Raw genomic sequence first — 27,719 nt, 5'->3', positions numbered from 1 at the left:
TTCCTAAGGTCGTCTATGTTTTTGTTTGTTTCAAGAGTGTTTGTAATTGCTTGTTGAAGCATTTTTACAAAAGCTGTTTAAAAGTCTTTGTCAATCATTCCACATCTGTGTCATCTCAATATTGGCATCTGTTGAGTTTCTATTTTCCTGATTTTTCATATGACAAGTAATTTTGGGCCATATCCTGAACATTATTATACTATGACACTCCGGTTCCTATTTAAATCATCTATTTTAGCAAGTAGTCAACCTGCTTAAAACTGCAACCTTCTCATCTTTATGGGCTGTGGTTGAACATCAATCCAGTTACAAAAATCTCTGCAGTGCTTTTCTGATTTCCCTCATTTGTGTTATGTAGATGACGTAACTTCACCCTACTATCTCCTCAGTTTGAGTTTGGGTGGGGACAAGCACTGCCTCATTTTAGCAGGGCAAGGATGGAAGACAGGGTACTATCCCACAGGGTCTGCCTCACCAATGCAGCGGGGAAGGGAGGGTGGAAGTCAGAGTCTTCCCACAGGCTCAGCTGGGGAGAGTACAACAAGGAAAGTAGAAATCAAGAGTTCCAACCACAGGTTTCTCCATGGAAAGTTACCTCCTCCTTACTTCATATTCCACTGAGGTGGGGCACCACTTCATTACTATAGGGTAGGGGGTGAAAGTTTAATTTTCTGGGTTCCTCCCTGCCACCCACCCCTACATTTTTCCAGATTTTTCCAGTTCATTCTACAGACTCCACTGGAGAGGGGCATCCCCTTGTTACTGTAGGAGGGGGAGGATGTATGTATAAAACAGTACTGGTTATGGATTCCACTGCTGAAATGCCTGTTAGGGTAGGAGAGAAATACAGCTTTTATTGTGCTGTTCTCTTAGAGAACAGTAAAGTATTACTAAAAGTTTCTGTCTTTTGGGGCTATCCTTTGGCTAGAGAGAACAGGCTTTCCTTGGCACTAATTTTCTTTTGTTTGTTGGTTTCTACCCACTAGCATTTCCAAGTTGTGTGCCTCTCTAGAGACCAGGTCAGGATATATGAAGGTACAGAAAGGAGAAAAAAAGAGAGAGAGAGAGAATTCATTTGATCCTTGAGCCCCCAAATCCCTTGGTAGTTCATTCTCTTTTTTCTGACTTTCAGAGTTTTCCAGTAGGTGAATTATGTGTTTTACCCAGGGCTTTTTGTTGTGATTAGTAGAAGTAAAGTAAAATGTGTTTACTCCATATCGTCCAGAGCCCAAACCCTGTCACTTACTTTTAGTGTAGATATTATGATTATTTCTACATCTTATCACTCTCTACTTTCTAAGTTTCCTGAGAAGTTTATTACTTTTTTTATTAGGTTACTATTACTTTTTTTTTTTTAAGAGACAAGGTCTCACTCTTTAGCCTCCCAAGTAGCTAGGACTACAGGCACACACCACCACACCCAACTAAATTTTTTATTTTGTGCAGAGATGGTGGCCCCCACGGTGGTTTCAAACTCCTGGCCTTAAGCAGTCCTCCTGCCTCAGCTTCCCAAAGCACTGGGATTACAGGTGTGAGCCATCATGCCTGGCTTTTATTAGATTTTCTATTAATTTTTTGGGCCAGCAAAGTGTCAGATATGACATATCCTTGAAGCTTAGTAGCTGTTAAAAACTGTTAACACAATTTATCGGCCTTTATACCCACCACTGGGTTCACAAAAGATAAAAATAAGTAAGTCTCAAGTTGGTTCATTTGTTCTGTAAATATCTGTTTTATAAAGCATCTGGGGACACAACAATGAGTAAGACAGCTAAGATCCCTGGTGTTATGTAACATATTCCAGTGACTGGAGGAGAGAAACTACAGGCATATGAATAATAATGTGTTCTCCTCAGGTTGAAAAAACTCAGTCTGCTATGTTTCAGTAAATATTAAGAACATATGTTTGATAAACTGCAAATATTCAGAAATCTAAAATGCATACTTAGCATAGTTTAATATTTTTACTTGGTACACTAAACTTTAATGATCCAATAAACCAGTAATCAACTACTTACCACATACAACTGTTTCCACAAACTTGCCCATTCTTGTAGAGTTGCTGTAACCTCAGTCACAATAGAATCTTCAAGTGGAACCACAGTTTCATACTGCCTAGAACCAGAGCCACAAAAGACAGCCACATTATCTCTGAAAAAAATCTCGGCAAACTGTCTCCTGTCTTTTTCTACTTGTTTAACTCAAATTTTAAATTTATGCAAATAAAAAAGAAGTATATCTAATTGATCAAAGACCTTTTTATAATGATATACTGCAACAGTGAAAGTAAACTGAATTAAAGTAAAGAGATTTGGGTTTTACTGTATGTCCTCAATTTTACTTTTATAAATGCTATCCTTAAAACACACTTTTTAAAGAACAGACTCTAAGCTTTTTTCCTTCAATGAAAAACCATGATACTACCCAAGTCTTGCTCGGATTAGTTTTTTTAAATTATTTATGACCTTTAACATTTTTCTGTTTGAAAGTTTGCTCATACCCTCAGTTAAAAAAAAAAATCTGGAAAAATGTGGGGGGTTGTGGAGGGGAGGAACCCACACAATTAAACTTTGAAAAGTTTAATGCATACTCCCTTATATTGGTATTGTATTTTCCTGCAACATAATGTCAGCAGAGGAATTCTAAGTCTGGTAGAGGAATTCTGAACCTGGTAACAGAAAGGTGCTTGGATTCTCTCTGACTACTTCATAAGCAGCATCCACTATAATGCCAGTCCCTGTGCTAACTGTCAAAAATTTATCAGTGAACAAAAAGGAACAGGATTTCTATCTTCAGAGAGCTCTTGGTCTGAATAGGGAATCAGACAGACATGGACAGTAATAAATCTAAAATGAAAATGAAAAGGTACTGATATGGTTTGGCTGTGTCCCCACTCAAATCTCATCTTGACTTGTAGCTCTCATAATTCCCATGTGTTGTGGCAGAGACCCAGTGAGAGGTAACTGAATCATCGGGGTGGGTCTTTCCCAGGCTGTTCTCATAATAGTGAATAAGTCTCACAAGATCTGATGGCTTTTTTAAAGAGGAGTTCCCCAGCACATGCTCTCTTGTCTGCTGCCATGTAAGATGTGACTTTGCTCCTCCTTTGCCTTCTGCCATGATTGTGAGGTCTCCCTAGCCACGTGGAACTGTGAGTCCATTAAATCTCTTCTTTATAAATTACCCAGTCTCAGATATGTCTTTATTAGCAGCATGAGAACAGACTAATACAAGTACAATGAAAGATTTTAGCTGTGTTATACAATTTACAATGAGCAGATCAATGAACTCTTCTCTGAAGAAATGTCAAGGCCCAATACATGCAAAAAAATCATGACATGAAAAGCGTGTGGGGAGGGAGAAAACCAGTTATGGTGCCACCTGCAAACGAGAAAAGTATGCAAGATGTCACTGAGTTGGAAAATAATTTCACACATCCAAGATGAAAAAAAGCTGGTATGACTGGGACCAGCTGTCATAGGACCTTTTCAAAAGACAGTAAAAATTCCAGATCTTAACACAAGTAACCTGAATGAAAAGTTACTGAAAGCACGGGGACTAACTTGATAATATTTCTATAATGTCCACACCAATGTTGAGGGTCAATAAAAACTTTCTATGACCAAAGACTTAATATACTGATATATTGAGGTAACTTATACCCGTTTATTAGCCAAGGGGAATATCATCCATCTGAAAAAAAAAAGTACAGGAAAATGTATTCCACAAAATTAGCATCAAGTATTATTTGTTTCCACAAGAAGACAGCTGACAAAGCACCACTGTGTTCAAAGATGACTCAGTGCAGTAAAATTGAGCATCAATGAATATATGTTATCTGATTATGTCTTACAGTTTTACTGTGTTCTTATTTTGTGTGACTTACCACAGCAGATTACAAAAAGTCACCTTGAAATAATGCAATGGCATTATCTATATCCAAAAAATTTACAAGCTCATTAATATAAAAGCTTTCATCAAGGGCTTGTTAAGAGTAAAATGTGACAAAGGTAATATCAGCAAGATGGCAGAAGAGGTGCTTTCTACTGTCATCTGCCCCCAAGAAGCATCAATTTTGACCACAACTTATGGACAAGAGTACCTTTGTGGGAGTCTAGGAATCCAGCAGAAAAGTTTCAGTACACCACTGAGGCAAAAAATCCAGAATAGATGCAGTGAAGAGGGTAAGAAGAAAGTTTCATTTTACCTGCATCACTCCTCCCACAAAGCAGTACAGCTCAACAAGAGAAACTCCATAACCCTCCAATTTCTCTCACAGCGGAAAGCAGAATGATTAGGCACTCGGCTCCACCAGCCATGTAAGACACTGCCCAAGAGACTCACTTTTCTCACCCCACCCCAAATATTGTGGTGATCAGCATGGCTGAGTATCTGGGGAAGATGGGAGCAGGAAAATAACTATGGTTTAATTTACTTTAATTTTTTGAAATAGGTCATATTGATCTTCTCAGATGAAAAGGAGTAAGCTAATGATAAATGTCATATCTGAGAAGAAAGTCATAATGACTTGCTACACAAATTCAAATTGAATGAGAAGACATCCTTTATTTCTTCAAGCTACTGGTTATAAGTTGAAATTTCTGAAGTTATTTCCATATACCACATCTTAAGAATGCTGCAGAGATAATTAGGAGATGTATAGAAACAATCAGGGAAATCACAATCTTAGTAACAAAACTTAAACATAAAGCACAAATAGGTGCTAAATGTGTGACATTAACTATAACATCTAATGTTCTAAAAAAGGAGGTTCACTGTAAACTGCTGCAGTCAGATAAAGATTCATGAAGAAAGTGAAGTTCCTAGAAGAGGCTTGGGTCTGAAAGGTAAGCAGGTGGAGAGAGAGCCCTAAACACTGTACTATGCTATAAAAAGTGGTATAGAGAAAATAATGAGCAAGGCATATTAAAGATAATTCATGCTACTGATGGCAGCAGCAGGCCGTCTGTAGTGGGGAGGCATGGGCGGTGGCAGCAGGAGTGGCTGCAGGAGCAGTGGTGAGTCTCCCGTGCCCTACCTCCAGGAGACAGCTGACTGCACCGCCGTCACCCTTACACAGCCGGGCATGACCCACCCCCAGGCCCGGAGCCTCTGTGGCCCCAGACCCTGTCCCCAAGTCACTGCCCTCTCCTGCCACTGCTGCAGGGAGGGTGAAGGGAGGAGGCAGTGCTTGGGGCCACGCTTCGGGGGAAGTGAGAGTGGTGCCCACTTCGGGGATCAGCCAGAGGTACGGTCGCCATGCCCACCCCACAGACAGCACTGGGTTCCTGGGCCTCTGCAAGAGGCTGTCTGCACAAGCCCGCCCAGGGTCGCATCCCCAGGGTCTGCCCCATAAGGGTCTGCACAGTATCACTCCCAATTGCCGGCCCGAGGCCTGTGATCCACTCCCAGAGGTGCCCACCCTGGGCAGGGCCCCAAGCCAGGTGAGGGGGAGCTCTGCGCTGCCCCTGAGCACTGGAGCCACCAAGGGAGCCTGGGGAGACGTTGCCTCTGCCCTGGACACTGGCCTGGGCCCAGCAAGGACCTGGGCTGGGGCCCAGGCTGTGAGGGAGTGCAGCGGGGCTGCATGCTCCAGGGGGCCAGGAGCAGGTAGCAGCCCCATCGTTTTGGGCACAGCTGCAGCTGCCCAAGTCAGGGTTGTGGACCTGGGTCTCCCTGGGCTCTTGTGGGCAGGGAGCAGGCAGAAGACTTGCACCAGTGAGGCTGCAGCCGCCCAAGGCGGGGGCTGTGGATCTGGACCTCTGCACTCACTACAAGGCTGTGAGATTTTAAATTTGACACTATGGAAATAGGGAAACATGAGTGATGTTAAAGGAGTGTTGTGTTTTACTAAGATTAATGCAGAAATGATATGCAAGACAAAGTAAAATATAATTTCCTTGGAGTTTAATCTATTAGGTCTTTAGCTACTTTAATCATTAAGATCTATAAAAAACTTAGAGTGTTCCTATTTTAAAGTTCTAAGACGTAGGACTTATGATAATTTGGCCTCAACTGCTGGTTTCCTCACTTCCTAGCTAAGCTACTTTGGTAAAGGTATTTGAACTCTCAAAGCCTTGCCTTCCTCATTGGAAGTAAGTGGATAATTCCACTATGAATCTGGGATACCAAAGTGTGATGTGGTAAGTGTGAAGTGTCAAATAAAATGATTAGTGTATAGGATATTTAATAAATGGTAGCTATTGTTGACTCTTAAACTTTAATTTTCATTGCTTAGAATTAAGCAAAGACTTTCTAGAATAAAATGTCAAAATCAGCTAGATTTTATATTGTTCTTTATATTTTTTACAGATGTCTTATCAAAATATCTCAGTAAGTTCTTATTTTGACATATTTCCTCAGCTCCAAAGACACAGCAATTATAGGTAAAATACAAATATTTTTGGGCTCCAAAATAAAATAAATATCTCAGCGTAGTAGCAACAGAACAACAACAACAAAAACACAGCAGTGAACCAGTGTGAAATCATAGGTCTTCTGGACTCTGAAGTCAAAAGCCAGCACTGGTGACTAGGAACTTAGAGGGATGACAAGGACAAAAAAGTGCTCAAAATGACATGAGAAGCAAGGCCAGATTCACTGGTTGAAGTTTCGGAAAAGAAGACCAACATGAGACACAACACCAATTGCTATTAAACCTCATTTGGGACTATGGTTTTTAGCAAGCTGCAGGACTAAGGAGACTGGACCTTAAGCAGCCCCCTCCCCACTTCAGCCAAGGGTCAGAATCTACCACAGCCCCAGTGTCACTGTGGGGAAGAAGCTCTAAAATGCTGTTGAAGGACCTGGTTCCACACTGGAGGTTAGGGGACAGACGGCAGTAACTGCTCAAGCACTAGACAGATATGCTCAGAGGCAGAAACAGAGAGAGGAAACAAAATAATCCACTTCTGAAAACCAAATTCTGCAACACATGAAGACTCTATAATGTTCAAAGGCTTAAAAATAACACAATGCTGTTCGACTTACAACAGAGTTACATCCTCATAAACCCACTGTAAGTTGAAAATATCATGAAGTCAAAGATGCATTTAACCTGCCAAACATCCATAGCTTAGCCTATCCTCCCTTAAATGTGCTCAGAACACTTATATTACCCTATGGTTTGGCAGAATCATCTAACAAAAAGTGTGTTTTATAGTAAAGTGCTAAATATTTCATATAACTTGTTGAACACTGTACTGACAGTAAAAAACACAATGGTTATACAGGTACCCAAAGTATGGTTTCTACTGAATGCATATGACTTTCGTACCACTGTAAAGTAGAAAAATCTTAAGGCAAACCATCATACACTGGGAACCATCTGTAAATTCTTTTCAGATAAAATTAATTTTATGAAATTGCCTGATAAACATTTTTAAATGTTTAAGATGCTTAGAGAAATGAAAAGAATCACTTCCATTTCAGAAAGGAAAAAGTATGAAACAAAACCAAGCACAAATAAAACAAGAACCAATAATATGCAATAGAATCAACTAGGAAACTTGCAAACGAAAACTATTAACACCCAAGTGTCCATCAATAGATGAATGGAAAAATTAAATGTGGTATATATAAGTGCAATGGAATATTATTCAACCTTAAAAAGGAATGAAATTCTAATACATTCTACAACATAGATGAATCATGAAAGCACTATGCTAGTGAAATATGCCAGATACAAAAAGACAAATGTCATTATTCCATTTATATTAGGTACCTAGAATATGAAAATTCATAGAGACAGAAAATAGAATAGAGATTACCAGGGGCTGGGTAGAGGGAGAATGGGGAGTAACTGTTTAACAGGGACAAAGATTCTTTTGGCGATAATGAAAAAGTTCTGGAGATGAATTGTGATGATGGCTGCACAACATTGTGAATGTATTTGATGCCACTGGATTGTACACTTAAAGAGGTGAAATGGTAAACTTTATTATATATATATATATATATATATATATCATCACAATAAAATCACACAAAAATATTGCCAGTGAAAAAAGGAAACCTCAATAGAGAGGATACATGTTAGAAAGAATTCAAAGAAAACAGCTGCAAGACAGTACTGATGAAATCTCTCTAGAATGCAGGTCAGGGGAAAAAAACAGTCCCAAAGTATCTACGAGTACTTAAGAGTACATGGGAGAGAGGTGGAAAAACTCTCGTCTACTGCTAATAGGAATCTCAAAAGAAGTAAACGGCAGTGTTACAGACAATTGTGGGATTATTTTTTTCCTTCTCTGTTCTGCCTCATAATCCCCTTCCCCTAGGCAGAATGTAGAGACACACTGTCTTCCATTAGGTGAGTGTAAAATGATGGATACTTGATTTATCACTCTTCCTGCATCTGGGGAACACAGGGCTATGACCTAAGCTCCTTTCAACCCAGACTTAGAAAAGGAAACCAATGACTTCTAGAAGCAAAGACTGAAAAAACGACAACTTGGTAGCAGCTACAGTCAATTTCCAGAGACAGTAGCCTTTTTTAAAATTTCCCATGTAGTACTTATTTTTATTTTGATTTTTTATGGATGTATAATAGTTGTACATATTTATGGGGTACACGTAATATTCTGATATAAGCACACAATGTGTAATGAGAAAATCTTGGTAAATGGAATATCCATCACCTCAAATATTTATGATTTCTTTGTATTGAGAACATTCTAAATCTTCTCTTCTAGCTATTTTGAAATATACAATAAATTATTGTTAGCTATAGACATCCTGTTGTGCTATCAAACGACTAGATCTTATTCTATCTAGCGGTATTTCGGTACCCACTAACCAATCCCTCCTCATCCCCCACTCCCCACTGCCCTGTGGGAGCATCCAGTTTTAAGTCAGTGAGGGGAAGGAAGGAGGCAGAAATAAATACTGTAGTCAAGGTATGTTTCACTGAGAAGATTTCAGAAAAGGCCTGAAGGAAGTGACAAAGCTAATCCCAAGCATAAGAAACAATAGAAGCCTCAAGGCAGGAGCATACCTGAAATGACTGAATAAAAGCAAGAAAACCAGTGTCACTGAAGGTTACAGGGTGACAGGAAGTCACATCATAAAACTTGTAAGCCTTTGTAAGAACTTCAATGTTTGCTCTGTGTGAGACGGGAGTCGCTAGAAGGTTTTAAGCAGAGGAGTAACATGATCTAACATATTTTTAAAGAACAACTCTGGCAGTTATGTTGCACTATAAACTGCAAGGGAACATGGATAGAAACAGGGAGACCAGTTAGAAGGTGGTGCTGTAACACAGGCAAGAAACTATAACCCCAGAATGTACTTGTTTTTCATTCCATGACATAATGTGACAATTTAGGACACTGAGTTTCTCCTTCTTCTTCTCAGCTGTCTAATGCTGTACCAACTCCACCCAACAGTCCATAACGTGCTCACATCTTTCCTACTGTTCCTTAGCAGCTGACTCTCAACAACTCTCACCATCTTGCTATAGTGGGCACCCATGCTAATTCCCTTTCAAGTCCCACTTTCATCTAACTGAAGCCCCAGATCTCTAACCCTCTCTGGTTATGATAATGTCAAGGTTCCTGTAACACTTATAAATAAAATATGCATAACTAGAAGCACAGTCTAATATTGTCTCCATCCTAGAGAAAAGCATGAGACTGAGTTTGAGAAAAGCTTTGGTAAATAGACCAAGAATGAGGTCATAGAATGAATTAAATAAATGGATGAACAAACGAATGAACAAATTAATAGGCAAACTTTTTTAAAAAACCCTTGGCCTGTATGCTCAAAAGCAAGAAATCTTCCAGGTACTGTTGATCTACTGATTCTCCCTTTAACTAAGAGTTAACAAATCTAGCAGATGTAGAATGGATATATAAAAATTGGTTACATGAATTGGAATTATCTTGGCATACCCAACTAAATTAATGTCAAGAGACTGCATCAGGGGAGGAGAGAAGCACTCGGGCACAAAGCACCTGTCCAAGGGTTATATCACAAGCCAGCTGCCAAAATGGCCTGCTATAACTTTGGGAGGCCAAGGTGGGTGGAGCACTTGAGGTCAGGAGTTTGATACCAGCCTGGCCGACATGGTAAAACCCTATCTCTACTAAAAATACAAAAGTTAGCCAGGCTTGGTGGTGCGTGCCTTGTAATCCCAGCTACTCAGGAGGCTGAGGCAGGAGAATCACTTGAACCCGGGAGGCAGAGGTAGCAGTAAGCCAAGATTGTGTCATTTGCACTCCAGCCTGGGCGACAGAGTGAGACTCTGTCTCAAAAAAAAAAAAAAAAAAAAAAAAGACTAGTTTTACCTAGTAGCTGCTGAAATGAACTGCCATGACTTTAAGAACAGTTTTACCTACCGCCATCACTCACCCAACCAATCAGAGCTTGCCAGCTCCCAAAAACTTCACTAGTGTTAGTAAGTTTTCTTTCAAAACAATATGTAACATTTCTCTAATAAAACCCCAACCTTCTGTTTCTTCTTCGGACACAAAGAAGACTACCCTGTCTGTGTGTATGCCCTGAATGGCCATTCTGCTTTCCTAAATAAAACTTTTTTTTTTTAAGGAGGCAGAGTCTTGCTATGTTTCCCAGTCTGGAGAGCAGTGCCTATTCACAGGCATGATCATAGTGCACTATGGCCTCAAACTCCTTGGCTCAAGCAATCCTCCTGCCTCAGCCTCCCGAGGACCCAAGACTACAGGTATGTGCCAATATGCCTGGCCTTCCAAATAAAATGCTTTGTCTAGAGATTTGTCATTTATTTGACTTTGACAGATGGATGAGACAATCTGATATACATAAAATACTACTTGCAAGAATAATATCTAATCAGGAAACCAGGACTGCAAAAAGCTTAATGCTCACTTTTTTGATGCTCATGCAAGAGTTCATTTTCTCTTTCAGCTTCATCACTCATATAGCCAAAAATCAAACTCAAGTTTTGATCCTAAGGATTGCTGAATTACAAGATCAGTTGAATTCATGGCCTTTTCATTAAAATTAAGATAAAAGGCAGGGTAGTGACATAAAAATAACAGTAACCTGTGAATCAGAATGGAGATAGAATAAAGACATGGGATAACTTAGGAAAGTCTGAGCTCCACCCCTAGTAAACCTCCTTTTGGCATCAGAAAAAGTCCCTCCTTCTGGGCTGATGAGGGTATCCTTGCCTTGCTTACATGCTGTGAGACTACATCACCTGAGTGAATTATCTTGCAAAGAGAAGCCCATTTTCCTTAGACCATACACCACCCGCATAATTGTCCCCAGTGTCCTGTAAATTCAATCTGTTTACTTTCCCAGCCATCCTGAAAAGAATGCTGTGAAAGAAATAGCAGCTATAGAGGAGCTCAACTCCATGAACTTTCCCTCACCAAGGCTGATCTGACACCACAACTGCTGAATCAGAACTGACCGGTAGCAGTGGGCAACCCTGAGACTTGGATGTGGTACACATATTCCAAGTGGATTAGCCAACTGCCTACAGGCAAGTTCATACTTTTGACCCCATTCATGACAAAGAGGATGAGATTTGGACTTACTTTCCCTGGCTGCTTCATTTCTGGAAACATAACCTTCAGTAGACTATTCAATACCCTATTTGCCATAACACTGTTGCATATAAAACTGGAATATGAGCAAGGAACTCATTTTAAACACAAAGAAGGAAGATAAGGAGCTGACACTCACAGATTAACTGATCTTACTAATTACTTCATCATCCAGAGCAACAGACTGTATAGAACAATAGACAAGACTATAGAAGACTTTGTTATGCTAGCTTTTTTAATGATGGGGCAATCCACAAATTGCGACAATTATTCTGAACCAGTAACTAATATAAAGTTATGTTTCTCCCATAACCACAATACATGGGTCCAGAAACATGAAGTAGAAATGTAAAAGACAACTTCTCATTCTCACACCTAATGACTCACTTGCAAATTTTTTGCTTTCTATCTTTGAGGACTCTGGCTCTGCTAATTTAGAATTCAAGGGAAACATGCATACACAGATAACAATATGATTCAATTATATTGAAGCTGAGATTCCCATGAGGCCATTTCAGGTTCAGGTTACCCCTGCCACTGAACAAACAAACAAACAAACAAACAAAAACAGCAGCAGTTTTGGCATTGGTTGGCATGATTTTTACAAGTCTTCAACAGAAGTACTTTTGGTGCTATACAACAGAGTAGGAAGAAGCATGAATGGAACCCAAAAGATCCCCAGGGAATATCATAATACTATCATGCTCTGTGGTAAAAATTAGTGGAAGACTACAGCATCCCTCTGCACAGTAAACCATCAAGGGCTCAAATACCACAGCTAAGTAGTACCTGGCTAAGGCAAAGAAATTATAAAATGGGAGGTAAAGTAAGGAAATCATTAACACAAATTAATTTCTGTGACCAGGTAGAGAAACATGTCTGTAATGTCCATAATATATTATTCCTTGCTATGTCATGTATATATTTATAAATTTAACTTCATTGACTTTTCCCCTCCTCCATTCCCCAGTGATTGTTTCCCCACCTATTTTTAAAAAGGTAGTGATAAGGTTTAGCTTTACACTAAAATCTACAATTTAGAGAAGAGCAAAAGAGAAACATTATAAAACTAAAGGAGAATATTCGTGAGATTATCAATTAGTAAATTTATACTAAGTATTAAATATTGTGGAATGCAGCTAAGGCATTATATAGAGGGAATTCCATAATATTCAATTCTTGCATGACAAAAGACTAAAAATAAAAACCACTATGGAAAATAGCGTGGAGTGTCCTTAAAGAACTAAAAGTAGAACTACCATTGATCCACCAATCCCACTACTGGGAATCTATGCAGAGGAAAAGAAGTCATTATACAAAAAAAGATGCTTGCACACACATGTCTATAGGAGCACAATTTGCAATTGCAAAAATGTGGAACCAAGCTACATGCCCATCAATCAACAACTGGATAAAGAAACTGTGGTGTATATATATATGATGGAAGACTACTCAGACATAAAAAAGAATGAATTGATGGCATTCACAGCAACCTGGATGAGACTGAAGTCTATTATTCTAAGTGAAGTAACTCAGAAATGGAAAACCAAGAATAGTATGTTCTCATTCATAAGTGGGACTAAGCTATGAGGATGAAAAGGCTTAAGAATGATACAATGGACTTTGGGGACTCGGGGAAAAGGTGGGAAGGGGGAGAGGCATAAAAACACAACAAATTGGGTGCAGTGTATACTGCTTGGGTGATGGGTACACCAAAATCTCACAAATCACCACTAGAGAACTTTCTTATGTAACCAAACCCCACCTGTTCCCAACAACCTATGGAGAGAAAAAAATTAAAAAAAAAAAAAAGACTAAAAATAAACTGGCTAAGTGCATAAACCTTAGAATTGACAAGAACAAAAAACAAAAGTACAAAACTTCAGAGGTGGAGGAGGTTCCAAGATGGCCAAAAAGGAACAGCTCCAGTCTACAGCTCCCAGCGTGAGCAACGCAGAAGACAGGTGATTTCTGCATTTCCAATTGAGGTACCGGGTTCATCTCACTGGGGCTTGTCAGACAGTGGGTGCAGCCCACGAAGCAGGGCGGGGCATTGCCCCACGTGGGAAGCGCAAGGGGTCGGGGAATTCCCTTTCCTGGCCAAGGGAAGCCATGACAGACAGTAACTGGAAAATTGGACACTCCCACCCTAATACAATGCTTTTCCAACAGTCTTAGCAAACAGCACACCAGGAGATTATATCCCATGCCTGGCTCAGGGGGTCCTACACCCACGGAGCCTCGATCACTGCTAGCACAGCAGTCTGAGATCAAACTGCAAGGAGGCAGTGAGGCCAGGGGAGGGGCGTCTGCCATTGCTGAGGCTTGAGTAGATGAACAAAGTGGCCAGGAAGCTTGAACTGGGTAGAGCCCATGGCAGCTCAAGGAGGCCTGCCTGCCTCTGTAGACTCCACCTCTGCGGGAAAGGCATACCTGAACAAAAGGCAGCAGAAACTTCTGCAGACTTAAACGTCCCTGTCTGACAGCTTTGAAGAGAGAAGTGGTTCTCCCAGCACAGAGTTTGAGACCTGAAAATGGACAGACTGCCTCCTCAAGTGGGTCCTTTACCGCTGAGTAGCCTAACTGGGAGATACCTCCCAGTAAGGGCTGACTGACACCGAATACAGCCAGGTGCCCCTCTGAGATGAAGCTTCCAGAGGAAGGATTGGGCAGCAACATTTGCCGTTCTGCAATATTTGCTGTTCTGCAGCCTCCGCTGGTGATACCCAGGCAAACAGGGTCTGGAGTGGACCTCCAGCAAACTCCAACAGACCTGCAGCTGAGGGTCCTGACTGCTGGAAGGAAAACTAACAAACAGAAAGGACATCCACACCAAAACTCCAGCTGTATGTCACCATCATCAAAGACCAAGGCAGATAAAACCACCAAGATGGGAAGAAACCAGAGCAGAAAAGCTGAAAATTCTAAAAATCAGAGCACCTCTTCTCCACCAAAGGAATGCAGCTCCTCGCTAGCAACGGAACAAAGCTGGATGGAGAATGACTTTGACGAGTTGAGAGAAGAAGGTTTGAGACGATCAGTAATAACAAACTTCTTCGAGCTAAAGGAGGATGTTCAAACGCATCGCAAAGAAGCTAAAAACCTTGAAAAAAGATTAGACGAATGGCTAACTAGAATAAACAGCATAGAGAAGACCTTAAATAACCTGATGGAGCTGAAAACCACGCCACAAGAACTACGTGACACATGCACAAGCTTCAGCAGCCAATTTGATCAAGTGGAAGAAAGGGTATCAGTGACTGAAGATCAACTGAATGAAATGAAGCAGAAGAGAAGTTAGAGAAAAAAGAGTAAAAAGAAATGAACAAAGCCTCCAATAAATATGGGACTGTGTGAAAAGATCACTTATCACACTTATTCCAAAACTGACCACATAACTGGAAGTAAAGCACTCCTCAGGCAAACGTAAAAGAACAGAAATTGTAACAAACTGTCTCTCAGACCACAGTGCAATCAAACTAGAACTCAAGATTAAGAAACTCACTCTAAACTGCTCAACTACATGAAAACTGAACAACCTGCTCCTGAATGACTACTGGGTACATAACAAAATAAAGGCAGAAATAAAGATGTTCTTTGAAACCAATGAGAACAAAGACATAACATACCAGAATCTCTGGGACACATTCAAAGCAGTGTGTAGAGGGAAATTTATAGCACTAAATGCCCACAAGAGAAAGCAGGAAAGATCTAAAATTGACACCCTAACATCACAATTAAAAGAACTAGAGAAGCAAGAGCAAACGCATTCAAAAGCTAGCAGAAGGCAAGAAATAACTAAGATCAGAGCAGAACTGAAGGAGATAGACACACAAAAAACCCTTCAAAAAATCAATAAATACAGGAGCTGGTTTTCTGAAAAGATCAACAAAATTGACAGACCGTTAGCAAGACTAATAAAGAAGAAAAGAGAGAAGAATCAAATAGATGCAATAAAAAATGATAAAGGGGATAACACCACCAATCCCACAGAAATACAAACTACCATCAGAGAATACTATAAACACCTCTACACAAATAAACTAGAAAATCTAGAAGAAATGGATAAATTCCTAGACACATACACCCTCCCAAGACTAAACCAGGAAGAAGGTGAATCCCTGAATAGACCAATAATAGGCTCTGAAATTGAGGCAATAATTAATAGACTACCAACCAAAAAAAGTCCAGGACCAGACGGATTCACAGCAAAATTCGACCAGGGGTACAAAGAGGAGCTGGTACCATTCCTTCTGAAACTATTCCACTCAACAGAAAAAGATGGAATCCTCTCTAATTCATTTTATGAGGCCAGCATCATCCTGATACCAAAGCCTAGCAGAGGCACAACAAAAAAAGAAAATTTTACACCAATATCCCTGATGAAAATCGATGCAAAAATCCTCAATAAAATACTGGCAAACCGAATCCAGCAGCACATCAAAAAGCTTATCCACAATGATCAAGTTGTTCATCCCTGGGATGCAAGGCTGGTTCAACATATGCAAATCAATAAACATAATCCATCATATAAACAGAACCAAAGACAAAAACCACATGACTATCTCAATAGATGCAGAAAAGGCCTTTGACAAAATTCAACAGCGCTTCATGCTAAAAACTCTCAATAAACTAGGTATTGATTGGATGTATCTCAAAATAATAAGAGCTATTTATGACAAACCCACAGCCAATATCTTACTGAATGGGCAAAAACTGAAGCATTCCCTTTGAAAACTGGCACAAGACAGGGATGTCCTGTCTCACCACTCCTATTCGACATAGTGTTGGAAGTTCTGGTCAGGGCAATCAGGCAGGAGAAAGAAATAAAGGGTATTTAATTAGGAAAAGAGGAAGTCAAATTGTCCCTGTCTGCAGATGACATGATTGTATAGTTAGAAAACCCTATCATCTCAGCCCAAAATCCCCTTAAGATGATAAGCAACTTCAGCAAAGTCTCAGGATACAAAATCAATGTACAAAAATCACAAGCATTCCTCTACACCAGTAACAGACAGAGAGCCAAATCATGAGTGAACTCCCATTCACAACTGCTTGAAAGAGAATAAAATACCTAGGAATATAACTTACAAGGGATGTGAAGGACCTCTTCAAAGAGAACTACAAACCACTGCTCAACGAAATAAAAGAGGACACAAACAAATGGAAGAACATTCCATGCTCATGGATAGGAAGAATCATATCGTAAAAATGGCCATAGTGCCCAAGGTTATTTATAGATTCAATGCTATCCCCATCAAGCTACCAATAACTTTCTTCACAGAACTGGAAAAAACTAAAGTTCATATAGAACCAAAAAAGAGTCCGCATTGCCCAGACAATCCTAAGCCAAAAGAACAAAGCTGGAAGCATCACACTACCTGACTTCAAACTATACTACAAGGCTGCAGTAACCAAAACAGCATGGTACTGGTACCAAACAGAGATATAGACCAATGGAACAGAACAGAGCCCTCAGAAATAATACCACACATCTACAACCATCTGATCCTTGACAAACCTGACAAAAACAAGAAATGGGGAAAGGATTCCCTATTTAATAAATGGTGCTAGGAAAACTGGCTAGCTATACATAGAAAGCTGAAACTGGATCCCTTCCTTACACTTTATACGAAAATTAATTCAAGAAGGATTAAAGACTTAAATGTTAGACCTAAAACCATAAAAACCCTAGAAGAAAACCTAGGCAATACCATTCAGGTCGTAGGCATGGGCAAGGACTTCATGACTAAAACACCAAAAGCAATGGCAATAAAAGCCAAAATAGACAAATGGGATCTAATTAAACTAAAGAGCTTCTACACAGCAAAAGAAACTACCATCAGAGTGAACAGGCAATCTACAGAATGGGAGAAAATTTCTACAATCTACCCATCTGACAAATCACTAATATCCAGAATCTACAAAGAACTTAAACAAATTTACAAGAAAAAATCAAACAACCCCATCAAAAAGTGGGCAAAGGATATGAACAGACACTTCTCAAAAGAAGACATTTATGCAGTCAACAGACACATGAAAAAAGGCTCATTATCACTGGCCATCAGAGAAATGCAAATCAAAACCACAATGAGATACTATCTCACACCAGTTAAAATGGCGATCATTAAAAAGTCAGTTAACAACAGGTGCTGGAGAGGATGTGGAGAAATAGGAACACTCTTACACTGTTGGTGGGACTGTAAACTAATTCAACCATTATGGAAGACAGTGTGGCGATTCCTCAAGGATCTAGAACTAGAAATACCATTTGACCCAGCCATCCCATTACTGGGTATATATCCAACGGATTATAAAGCATGCTACTATAAAGACACATGCACACGTATGTTTATTGTGGCACTATTCACAATAGCAAAGACTTGGAACCAACCCAAATGTCCATCAATGATAGACTGGATTAAGAAAATGTGGCACACATACACCATGGAATACTACACAGCCATAAAAAAGGATGAGTTCATGTCCTTTGTAGGGACATGGATGAAGCTGGAAACCATCATTCTCAGCAAACTATCATAAGGACAGAAAACCAAACACTGTATGTTCTCACTCACAGGTGAGAACTGAACAATGAGAACACCTGGACACAGGGTGGGGAACATCACACACCGGGGCCTGTCATGGGGTTGGGGGAGGGAGAAGGGATAGCATTAGGAGATATACCTAATGTAAATGATGAGTTAATGGATGCAGCACACCAACATGTCACATGTATACATATGTAACAAAGCTGCACGTTATGCACATGAACCCTAGAACTTAAAGTATAATAAAAATAAAAACAAAACTTCAGAGTTACGTAAAAATACAAAATACAAACTATCATTCATGACAACTGAAAAAAATTAATGAGATAGAAAACAAACAATATTAAGAATATGCAAAATAAAAACACTGGTTCTTTATAAAGTCAAAGCAGAAAAACTTCCAAAAAAGTTGATGTGAAGAAAAATTTTAAAAAACACAAAAACAGTATTAGAGTAAAAGGGGTGAGCATAATCATCTATTAGAGCTGAAAATTTAAAATATCCTTAAAAATACAATGATAAGCTTATAGTAATAAATCTAAAAAATAATATGGATGCAAACATTTCCAGGAAAATATAAAGTACTAAAATTTACTCAAGAAGAAATAGGACACCTGGATAAATAAAAAAAACCATTAAAGCAACTGAATTAACCAAGTAATCAAGTTTTTCTCCCCTACCCACCCTACTACCCAACCCATTATCTAAAGATAGCAGGCCCAGACATTTTAAAAGTCAAGTTTTATCAAACCTTTAAAGAATGGTTAATCTCTACATTAACTTTCTCAGTCTAGAAATCATGTGAAGGTCATTCAATTCATGCTATGAAGCTAGAATAATATTTAGACCCAAATTAGTAAAGGATATGACAAGAAAAGAAAATCATAGACCAATCACACATATAAATACAGAAGCAAAAATCTAGAAAATCAAAGGCAATAGTGTAATAAAAATAATACATCATTACTATGACAAGTAATTGGAACATCCGTGTCTTTCCTCTAATATTTCAACATTATTACATTCCATAGGTCTTTCTTACTTTCTTAAAATATGTATTTTGAAATGATTACCAAGCAAGATGTACAATTAGAAGCCCCTAGCACTTGTCCCCCTCATAAAGGGAGCCAAAACAATTATAAGACAACTACTTTTTTTTTTTTTTTTTTTGAAACGGAGTCTCGCTCTGTTGCCCAGGCTGGAGTGCAATGGCACAATCTCACTCTGTTGCCCAGGCTGGAATGTAGTGGCGCAATCTCGGCTCACTGTAAGCTCCCCCTACCGGGTTCACACTATTCTCCTGCCTCAGCCTCCTGAATAGCTGGGATTACAGGTGCCCGCCACCACACCCAGCTAATTTTTTTCTACTTTTACCAGAGACGGGGTTTCACCAGGATGGTCTCGATCTCCTGACCTCGTGATCCACCAGCCTCAGCCTCCCAAAGTGCTGCGATTACAGGTGTGAGCCACCGTGCCTGGCCAAGACAACTACATTTTAACAAAAATAACTGAGGGAGAGTGCCAGAGTGCATCAAAGGAGCAATACAAACTCTGGTGAGAAGAGAAAGTTGGCCATGTAGAGAATGGAAGGAAGCATCGGGCCCATCTCCCAACTGGGCTCAGCTGGAAACCAGGAGGCGGAGCTTGCAGTGAGCCAAGATTGCGCCACTACACTCCAGCCTGGGTAACAGAGTGAGATTGTGCCACTGCACTCCAGCCTGGGCGACAGAGCGACTTATCCCAACAGTAAGGAGTTAAGCTAAAGGATCCCAGGAACACACATTAACACCCTGGACAGTTGAAGGCCTCAACACTCAGGCCAATGCAGTCCTCATAGGAACTTAAACCCAGCTGAGGGAGCTGCCTGGAGTCCACATAGCTGTGCTTTCCCCAGAGAAGGAGCCGACACCATGTCCCATCCCCTATGGCCCACATGGCTATCGCATGTCTCCATTTTGGAAGTGGAACTATGGCTGGAGTGTATCTTGCTCTGGGGGCGAGCAGACATGGCATTCCTTCATCGCTGTGGCTGAGGCATCACAGAACCATCCCAAATCTATGGCTGGATATCCCCAAGCTAAGTTGAGAGCAACTGTTAGACCCCTCCCCATAGAAACAAGCAAAGATGGGGCGACTCTACCTAACCTTCCCCCTACTGCTATGGGCCAGAGCTGAGGTAGTACCCTCATCTTGAAAACACGGTACCTTGGTCACCTAGAGCAGTCATGCCTCCCCAGTAACTAAGCTGAAACAAAATAGTGCCTTGGCCATCCAGAGTGGCTATACACCCCAGTACCTCAGCTGAAGCACCTCCCTGCATTCCAGGAAAATGATACCTGGGTCACCCAGAACAGTCACTCTCCCCAGGCCTCAGCTGAAGCAGCACATCACCCCCTGGGAAACTGCTGCCCTGGCAAGTGGAGCAGCTGCGCATTCCAGGACTGAGTTGGTGCAGTACCCCATATCCCAGAGAAACAGAATGGTGTCTGAACTTGGACACCTTGCCCTACAGGCCACACAATACTAGCATCCTGCCTTCCATGCAGGTGAACTCGTCCCCTAGAGCATACACTGCTGAAAGACTGCTCTCGCTGGGGAGGGGAGTCATTGCTGTACTGTTCCCTGCACCCTCCAGGGACCAAACAACAGCTGTGCTTCACCATTCTACAGGGGCAGGTACATTCTGCCCCTGTACCTGACCTCACATAGTCTGGGATACTGCAAAGCCCCGCCATCTCATGGTCTAGAGTCACTACTACAAGATGCTTCATGCCCTGCCCCTGAGTTCTATTGGATTGGGGATGCCAAACTGCAGCTGTATCCTGCTCCTAGGCCCAAACCTCCAGAACACCTCTTCCCTGGAGTCAAGCCAGTGCTGTGCCCTGCCATGCACAAGTAGAATTACAACTAAAACCTGGCACTCTGGGCCCACATTGCTAAGGGGTGCCTCAAATTCACAAATCTTGGCTGTGTGGGCAATCTATATCCAACTCTGCCACAGACAGCAAACCTAAACCCCAAGACCCAGGTGTTGCAATACATCCATGACACCCAGAAGCTAGAACACTAGTCCCACAGCCACTTCAATAACATCCACCTAGAACCCAGCACCACTGCAAATGCTTGTAGGCCATGTCAAACATGACACCAAGAGGGATCCCATTGGTTAAGTCTCCCCATTGTGGGAAAAGCAAAAATTAAAGAATGAATTGGTGTTGGAGATTTCAACACCCTACTATCGGCATTAGACAGATCATCTGGACAGAAAATCAACAAAGAAACATTGGATTTAAACTACACATTACATTAAATGGACCAAACAGACATTAAAGAACATTTCATCCAATAGCTGAAGAATAAACATTCATATCATCAGCACATGAAACATTCTCCAGAATAGACTGTATGTTAGGCCACAACACAAGTCTCAACAAACTTAAAAGAACTGAAATCGTATCAACTATCTTTTCTGACCACAATAAAACTACATATCAACAACAAGAAAAACTTTCAAAGTTGCAGTTACATGCAAATTAAACAACATGTTTCAGAATAAACAATGTCTCAATGAAAAAGTGAAGAATAAAATTTAAACATTTCTTGTAACAAGTGAAAATAGAAACACAACATACTAAAACCTATGGATACAGCAAAAGTGGTATTAAGAGGAAAGTTTATAGAAATCAATGCCAATATAAAAAAAGTAGAAAGCTCTCAAATGAACAACCTCAAATGAACAACAAGAATGAATGTAAATAATTAGATGAGCAAGAACAAACCAAACCTAAAGTTAACATAAGAAAATAAACTATAGAGCCGAAATAAACAAAATTGAGGAAAAAAATACAAAGAGCCACAAAATAAAAACTGGGTTTTTAAAGAAGGTAAACAAAACTGACAAACTACTACCTATACTAACCATGAAAAAAAAGACCCAAATAAATAAAATAAAATAAAATAAAATAAGAGAGACAATACAGGGAGGACAAAGCAAGATGCCAGAATACAAGGCTCCATCAACTGTCCTCTCCCCGCAACACAAGGACACCAATTTAACAAGTATCCACTCCAAAAAAGCACCTTTATGAGAACTAAAATTCGGATGACCCCCATATAGTACCTGGTTTTAACTTCATACTGCTGAAACAGGCACTAAAGAGGTATAAAAAACAATCGTGAATCGCCAATACCACTCCTTCCCAATCCCCCAGCAGTAGTACAGAGAGGGTTCCTGTGCACTGAAGAGAGGGAACTTGCAGCAATTCTAACGCACTGAATTCAGTGCTATTCTGTTATAGCACAAAAACAACACAGATGAAACTCAGCTGATGCCCACCAACGAAGGGATCATTGTAAACCAGCTGTAGCCAGAAGGGAATCAACAATTCCAGTGGTTGGAAGGTGAGTTCCCACAAGCCTCACCACTGTGAACATGCTCTGGGGTCCTAAATAATCTTGAAAGGCAGTCCAGGGCACAAGTACTGAAACTCCTATGTGAGTGCTGAACTGGGCCCAGAGCCAGTGGACTGGAGAGGTGCGTGACACCTAATGGGACAAGAGCCAAAGCAACTAAGGGAGTGCTGACATCACCCCTCCCCTAGCCCCAGGCTGCACAGCTTGCAACTCCAAAAGACCCCTCCCTTCTGCTTAAGGAAAGGAAAGAGTGGGAAGACTTTGTTTTGCATACTGGATAACAGCTCAACCACAGCAAGACAGGGCACCAGTCAATCACAAGGTCCCCTTTCCAGGTCCTAACTCTCAGACCTTACTAACCTACTAAACTAAACATACCCAGGCCAGAAGAAAACCCGCAGCCTTGAAGGGAAGGACCCACTCCAAAATAAATTGATCACCTGCTAACTGAAAAGCCCTCGGGCCACGAATAAACACCAGTGATACCCAGGTACTATGTCAAGGGCCTTGGGTGAGAATCTGAGACCTGCTGCCTTCAGGTGAGACACAGAACATTCCCAGCTCTGGTTGCTACAGGGCAAGACTTCCGCTTGAGAAAAGTGGAGGGGAAAAGTAAAAGGGGCTTTCTCTTGCACCTTAGGAACCAGCTTGGTCACCGGTCAGTAGGGAACAAAGCAGCCTCTAGGGGCCCTCGATTCCAGGACTTGGCTCTTGGATGGCATTTCTGGAGCTGTCCTGGGTCAGAGAGGAGGCCACTGCCCTGAAGGGTGAGTCCCAGGCAAGGCAAGATTCACTGCACGCTGACTCTGGAGCCCTTAAGACTTAAGGGAACATCAACAGTAGTCTGGCAGTACTCCCTGTGGGCCTGTGGGCCTGTGGCAGCAGTGGCTACAGGGTGAGGTTTCTCTGCCTTTGGAAAAGGGAGGGAAAAGGGGGAAGGATGTTGTCTTGTGGTTTCAGTAACAGCTCAACTACATAGCACAATAGAACACCAAGTAGACTTCTAAAGTTTTTTACTAGTTCCTGGCTCCTGGACATCACCTCTGGACCCACCTGGGGACTAAGGAAACTTGGCATCCTGAAGGGAAGGACACAGGCCTGGCTGGCTTTGCCACCTGCTGACTGTAGAGCACCAGGGCCTTGAGCAAACATACACAGTAGCCAGGGAGTGGTTATAGTAGTCCTTGGGTGACATTCAGTGCCATGAAGCTTCAGGTCTGACCCAGCACAGACCTAGTGACCACAGAGGTGCTTGTGTCACTCCATCCCCAGCTACAGATGGCTCAAAACACAGAGAGGGAGATTTTGCTTGTTTGGGAGAAAGTAAGGAAAAAGAACAAGAGTCTCTGCCTGGTAATACAGAGAATACTTCTGGATCGTGTCAAAGACTATCAAGGTGGTACCTCATGATCAAGTGGAATTCATCCCAAGGAAAGAGAAAGTAATAAAGGGCATCTAAAGTGGAACGGAGGAAGTAAAACTGTTTCTGTTTGAAAACAACATGATCATATATATCTCTACAAACTCTACCAGAAAATTAATTATAACTGAAAGGCAAATTCAGTAAAGTTGCAGTATATAACATCAACCTGCCAAAATCAGTAGCACTTCAAGAGACCAACAACAAACTAGCAGAAAAAGAAACCAAAAAGCAAGCCCATGTATAATAGCTATAAAAAATAATAATAAGATACCTAAGAATAAATTAAACAAGGTAGTGAAAGATCTCTACAAGGAAAACTATTAAACACTGATAAAAAGAAACTGAAGAGGGCACAAATAAAGGAAAAGAAAGTCCATGTTCATGAATAGGAAGAATATTGTGAAAATGACCAAACTACCAAAAGCAATCTGCAGATTCCATGCAATCTCTCTTTCTTTCTCTCTCTCTCTCTCTCTCAAAAAACAATTATGTTCTTCACAGAAATAGAAAAATCCTAAAATCTGTATGGTACTACAAAATTTTCCAAGTAGCTAAGGCAATCCTAAGTAAAAAGAACAAAGCTGGAGGCATCACACTACCTGACTTCAAAATATACTAAAAGCCACAGTAACCAAAACAACATGGTACTGGCATCAAAAACAGATACATAGAGCAATGAAACAGAATAGAGAACAAAAATAAATCCACACATATGAAGTCAACTCATTTTTGTCAAATGTGGCAAAAACATACATTGGAGAAAGGACAGTATATTCAATCAATGGTGCTAGGAATACTAACTATCCATGTGTAGAACAATGAAACTAAACCCCATTTCTCACCACATACAAAAGTCAATTTGAAATGGATTAAAGACTTAAATGTAAGACTTGAAACTATGATACCACTAGAAGAAAACATAGGGAAAATTCTCAGCACATTTGTCTGGGCAAAGATTTTTGGAGCGAGACCTCAAAGGAAAAATAACAAAAGCAAAAACAGACAAATGGGATGATAACAAGCTAAAAAGCTTCTGCACGGATAAAGAGGCAATCAAGAAAGTGAAAAGACAACCTATAGAAAGGGGGAAATATTTGCGAACTATTCATGTGACAAAGGATTAATAACCACCATATATAATGAACTCAATTCCACAGCAAAAAGACAATCCAAAAAAAAAACAGACAAATGAGGGAAGGCATAGCAAGATGGCCAAATAGAACCCTCCAGCAATCATCCTCTGCAGGAACACCAAATTGAACAACCATCCATGCAAGAAAGCACCTTCTTAAGAACTAAAAATTAGAGGTGAGTGGACAGAGCACCTGGTTTTAACATGATATCAAGGAAAGAAGCATTGAAGAGATAAGAAAGACTGACTCACATTGCCTACACCACCAATCCCCATCCACCATCAGCACATGGAGAGACAATCTGTGTACTTGGGGGAGGGAGAACAAAGTGACTGTGGGGCTTTGCATTGGAACTCAGTGATTCCTTATCACAGCAGAACATAACACAAGGCAGAATTTGGCCAATGCCCATGGAGTGGGCTCTTAGAGCACCTTCAGCCAGAGGGTAATCTTACACCCCAGCAGTAGGCACCTGAGTGGTGGCTAGCCCCACCACCAGTTCACTAAAGTGCCCCTGGGTTCTGAACAAATTTGAAATGCAGTCTAGGCCAAAAGGACTGCAGTCATTGGACAAGTCCTGGGGCTGTGCTGGGCTAAGAGCTGCTGGACTTGGGGTGCACATGACCCAGTGACACATGAGATGGGGCAGCCAAAGGAATGATTGTGTCACCAGTGGAAAAGATCTCTCCCTGAGCTGCACTGCCTAGAGTGTAAGGAGGGGTGATGCTGGAAACTCAAAAAGCCAGAGTGCCTTTTCTTCTCCAAATGACTGCAATACCTCTCCAGCAAGAGCACAGAACTGGTCTGAGGCTGAGATGGCTGAAATGACAGGAGCAGGCTTCAGGAGGTGGGTAATAATGAACTTCACTGAGATAAAGGAGCATGTCCTAACCCAATGCAAAGAAGCTAACAATCATGAAAAAACAATATAAGAGCTGATAATGAGAATAGCCATTTTAGAAAGGAGCATAACTGACCTGATGAAGCTAAAAGTAAAACACAGGAAATTCACAATGCAATCACAAGTACCAATAGCAGAACAGACCAAGCAGAGAAAAGAATATCAAAGCTTGAAGACGATCTTTCTGAAATAATACAGGCAGACAAGAATAGAGAAGAAAGAATGAAAAGGAATGAACAAAACCGCTGAGATATATGGGATTACATAAAAAGACCAAACCTACAACTGATTGAGTTACCTGAAAGAGATGGAGAGAACAGAACTAGGTTGGAAAACATACTTCAGGATATCATCCAGGAGATCTTCCCCAACCAAGCAAGACAGGCCAACATTCAAATTCAAGAAATCCAGAGAACCTCAGTAAGATACTCCACAAGAAGATCAACCCCAAGACACATAATCATCAGATTCTCCAAGGTCAAAATGAAAAAAAAAAAAAAAAAAACGTTAAGGGTAGCCAGAGAAAAAAGACAGGTCATCTACAAAGGAAAGCCCACCAGAATAACAGCAGACCCCTCAGTGGAAACCCTACAAGCCAGAAGAGATTGGAAGCCAATATTCAACATTCTTAAAAAAATTTCCAACCCAGAATTTCACATCTGGCCAAACTAAGCTTCATAAGCGAAGAAGAGATAAGATCCTTTTCAAAGAAGCAAATGCTGAGGGAATTCATCAACACGCCTGCCTTGCAAGAGCTCCTGAAGGAAGCACTCCATATGGAAAGGAAAGACCATTACTAGCCACTACAAAAACGCACTGAAGTACACAGAAGAACAGTGACACTATGAACAACCACATGAACAAGCCTGCAAAATAACCAGCTAACACCATGATGACACGATCAAATTCACACATAACAGTATTAAACTTAAATGTTAATGGGCTAAATGCCCCAATTAAAAGACACAGAATGGCAAGATGGATAAAAAGTTAAGACCATTGGTATGCCGTCTTCAGGAGACCCATCTCACGTGCAAAGACATACATAGGCTCAAAATAAAGAGATGGAGGAAAATTTACCAAGCAAATGGAAAACAAAAAAAAAGCAGGGATCACAATCCTACTTTCTGACAAAACAGACTTTACATTATCAAATATCAAAAAAGACAAAGAAGGGCATTACATAATGATAAAAGGTTCAATTCAATAGAAAGAGCTAAATAACCTAAATACATATGCACCCAATAGAGCAGCACCCAGATTCATAAAGCAAGCTCTTAGAGACCTACAAAGAGACTTAGACTCCCACAAAATAATAGTGGGAGACTTTAAAACCTCACTGACAATATTAGATCATCGAGACAGAAAATTAACAAAGATATTAAGGACCTGAACTAAGGTCTGGATCAAGCGAACCTGATCGATATCTACAGAACTCTCCAACCAATACCAACAGGATATACATTCTTCTGATTGCCACATGGCACTTACTCTAAAATAGATCACATAATCAGAAGTAAAACACACCTCAGCAAATGCAAAAGAACTAAAATCAAGACAGTCTCTCAGATGACAGCACAATCAAATTAGAACTCAATGTTAAGACACTCACTCCAACCCTCACAACTACAAGGAAACTGAACAACCTGTTCCTGAATTGACTACTGGGTGAATAATTGAGGCAGAAATCAAGAAGTTCTTTGAAAATAATGAGAACAAAGAGACAATGTAACAGAATCTCTGGGATGCTGCTAAAGCAGGGTTAAGACA

General features: G+C 40.7%; 1 protein-coding gene across 22 annotated transcripts in view, besides 1 other annotated feature; it reads right to left on the bottom strand.

Annotated features, from left to right (window-relative positions):
• The window catches only part of DOCK3 (dedicator of cytokinesis 3), a 709,272-nt gene that overhangs the window by 448,103 nt on the left and 233,450 nt on the right, over positions 1-27,719 (bottom strand). For all 22 annotated transcript variants that reach the window (XM_005264914.4, NM_004947.5, XM_006713010.4 and 19 more), the window contains exon 5: positions 2,019-2,115. In XM_005264914.4, the coding sequence (XP_005264971.1) occupies positions 2,019-2,115 (97 nt within the window). The remainder of the gene's footprint in view (positions 1-2,018; positions 2,116-27,719) is intronic.
• Positions 11,144-11,438: a silencer, noted in NCBI's record as "tiled region #894; HepG2 Repressive non-DNase unmatched - State 22:ReprW". NCBI's record gives its function as "represses a minimal TATA promoter and a strong SV40 promoter by Sharpr-MPRA in HepG2 cells {active_cell/tissue: HepG2}" and the evidence as "EXISTENCE:reporter gene assay evidence [ECO:0000049][PMID:27701403]".

This window comes from Homo sapiens, chromosome 3 (assembly GCF_000001405.40).
Source record: "Homo sapiens chromosome 3, GRCh38.p14 Primary Assembly".
Taxonomy (NCBI): Eukaryota; Metazoa; Chordata; class Mammalia; order Primates; family Hominidae; genus Homo; species Homo sapiens.
This window is presented reverse-complemented; position numbering and strand designations above follow the sequence as displayed.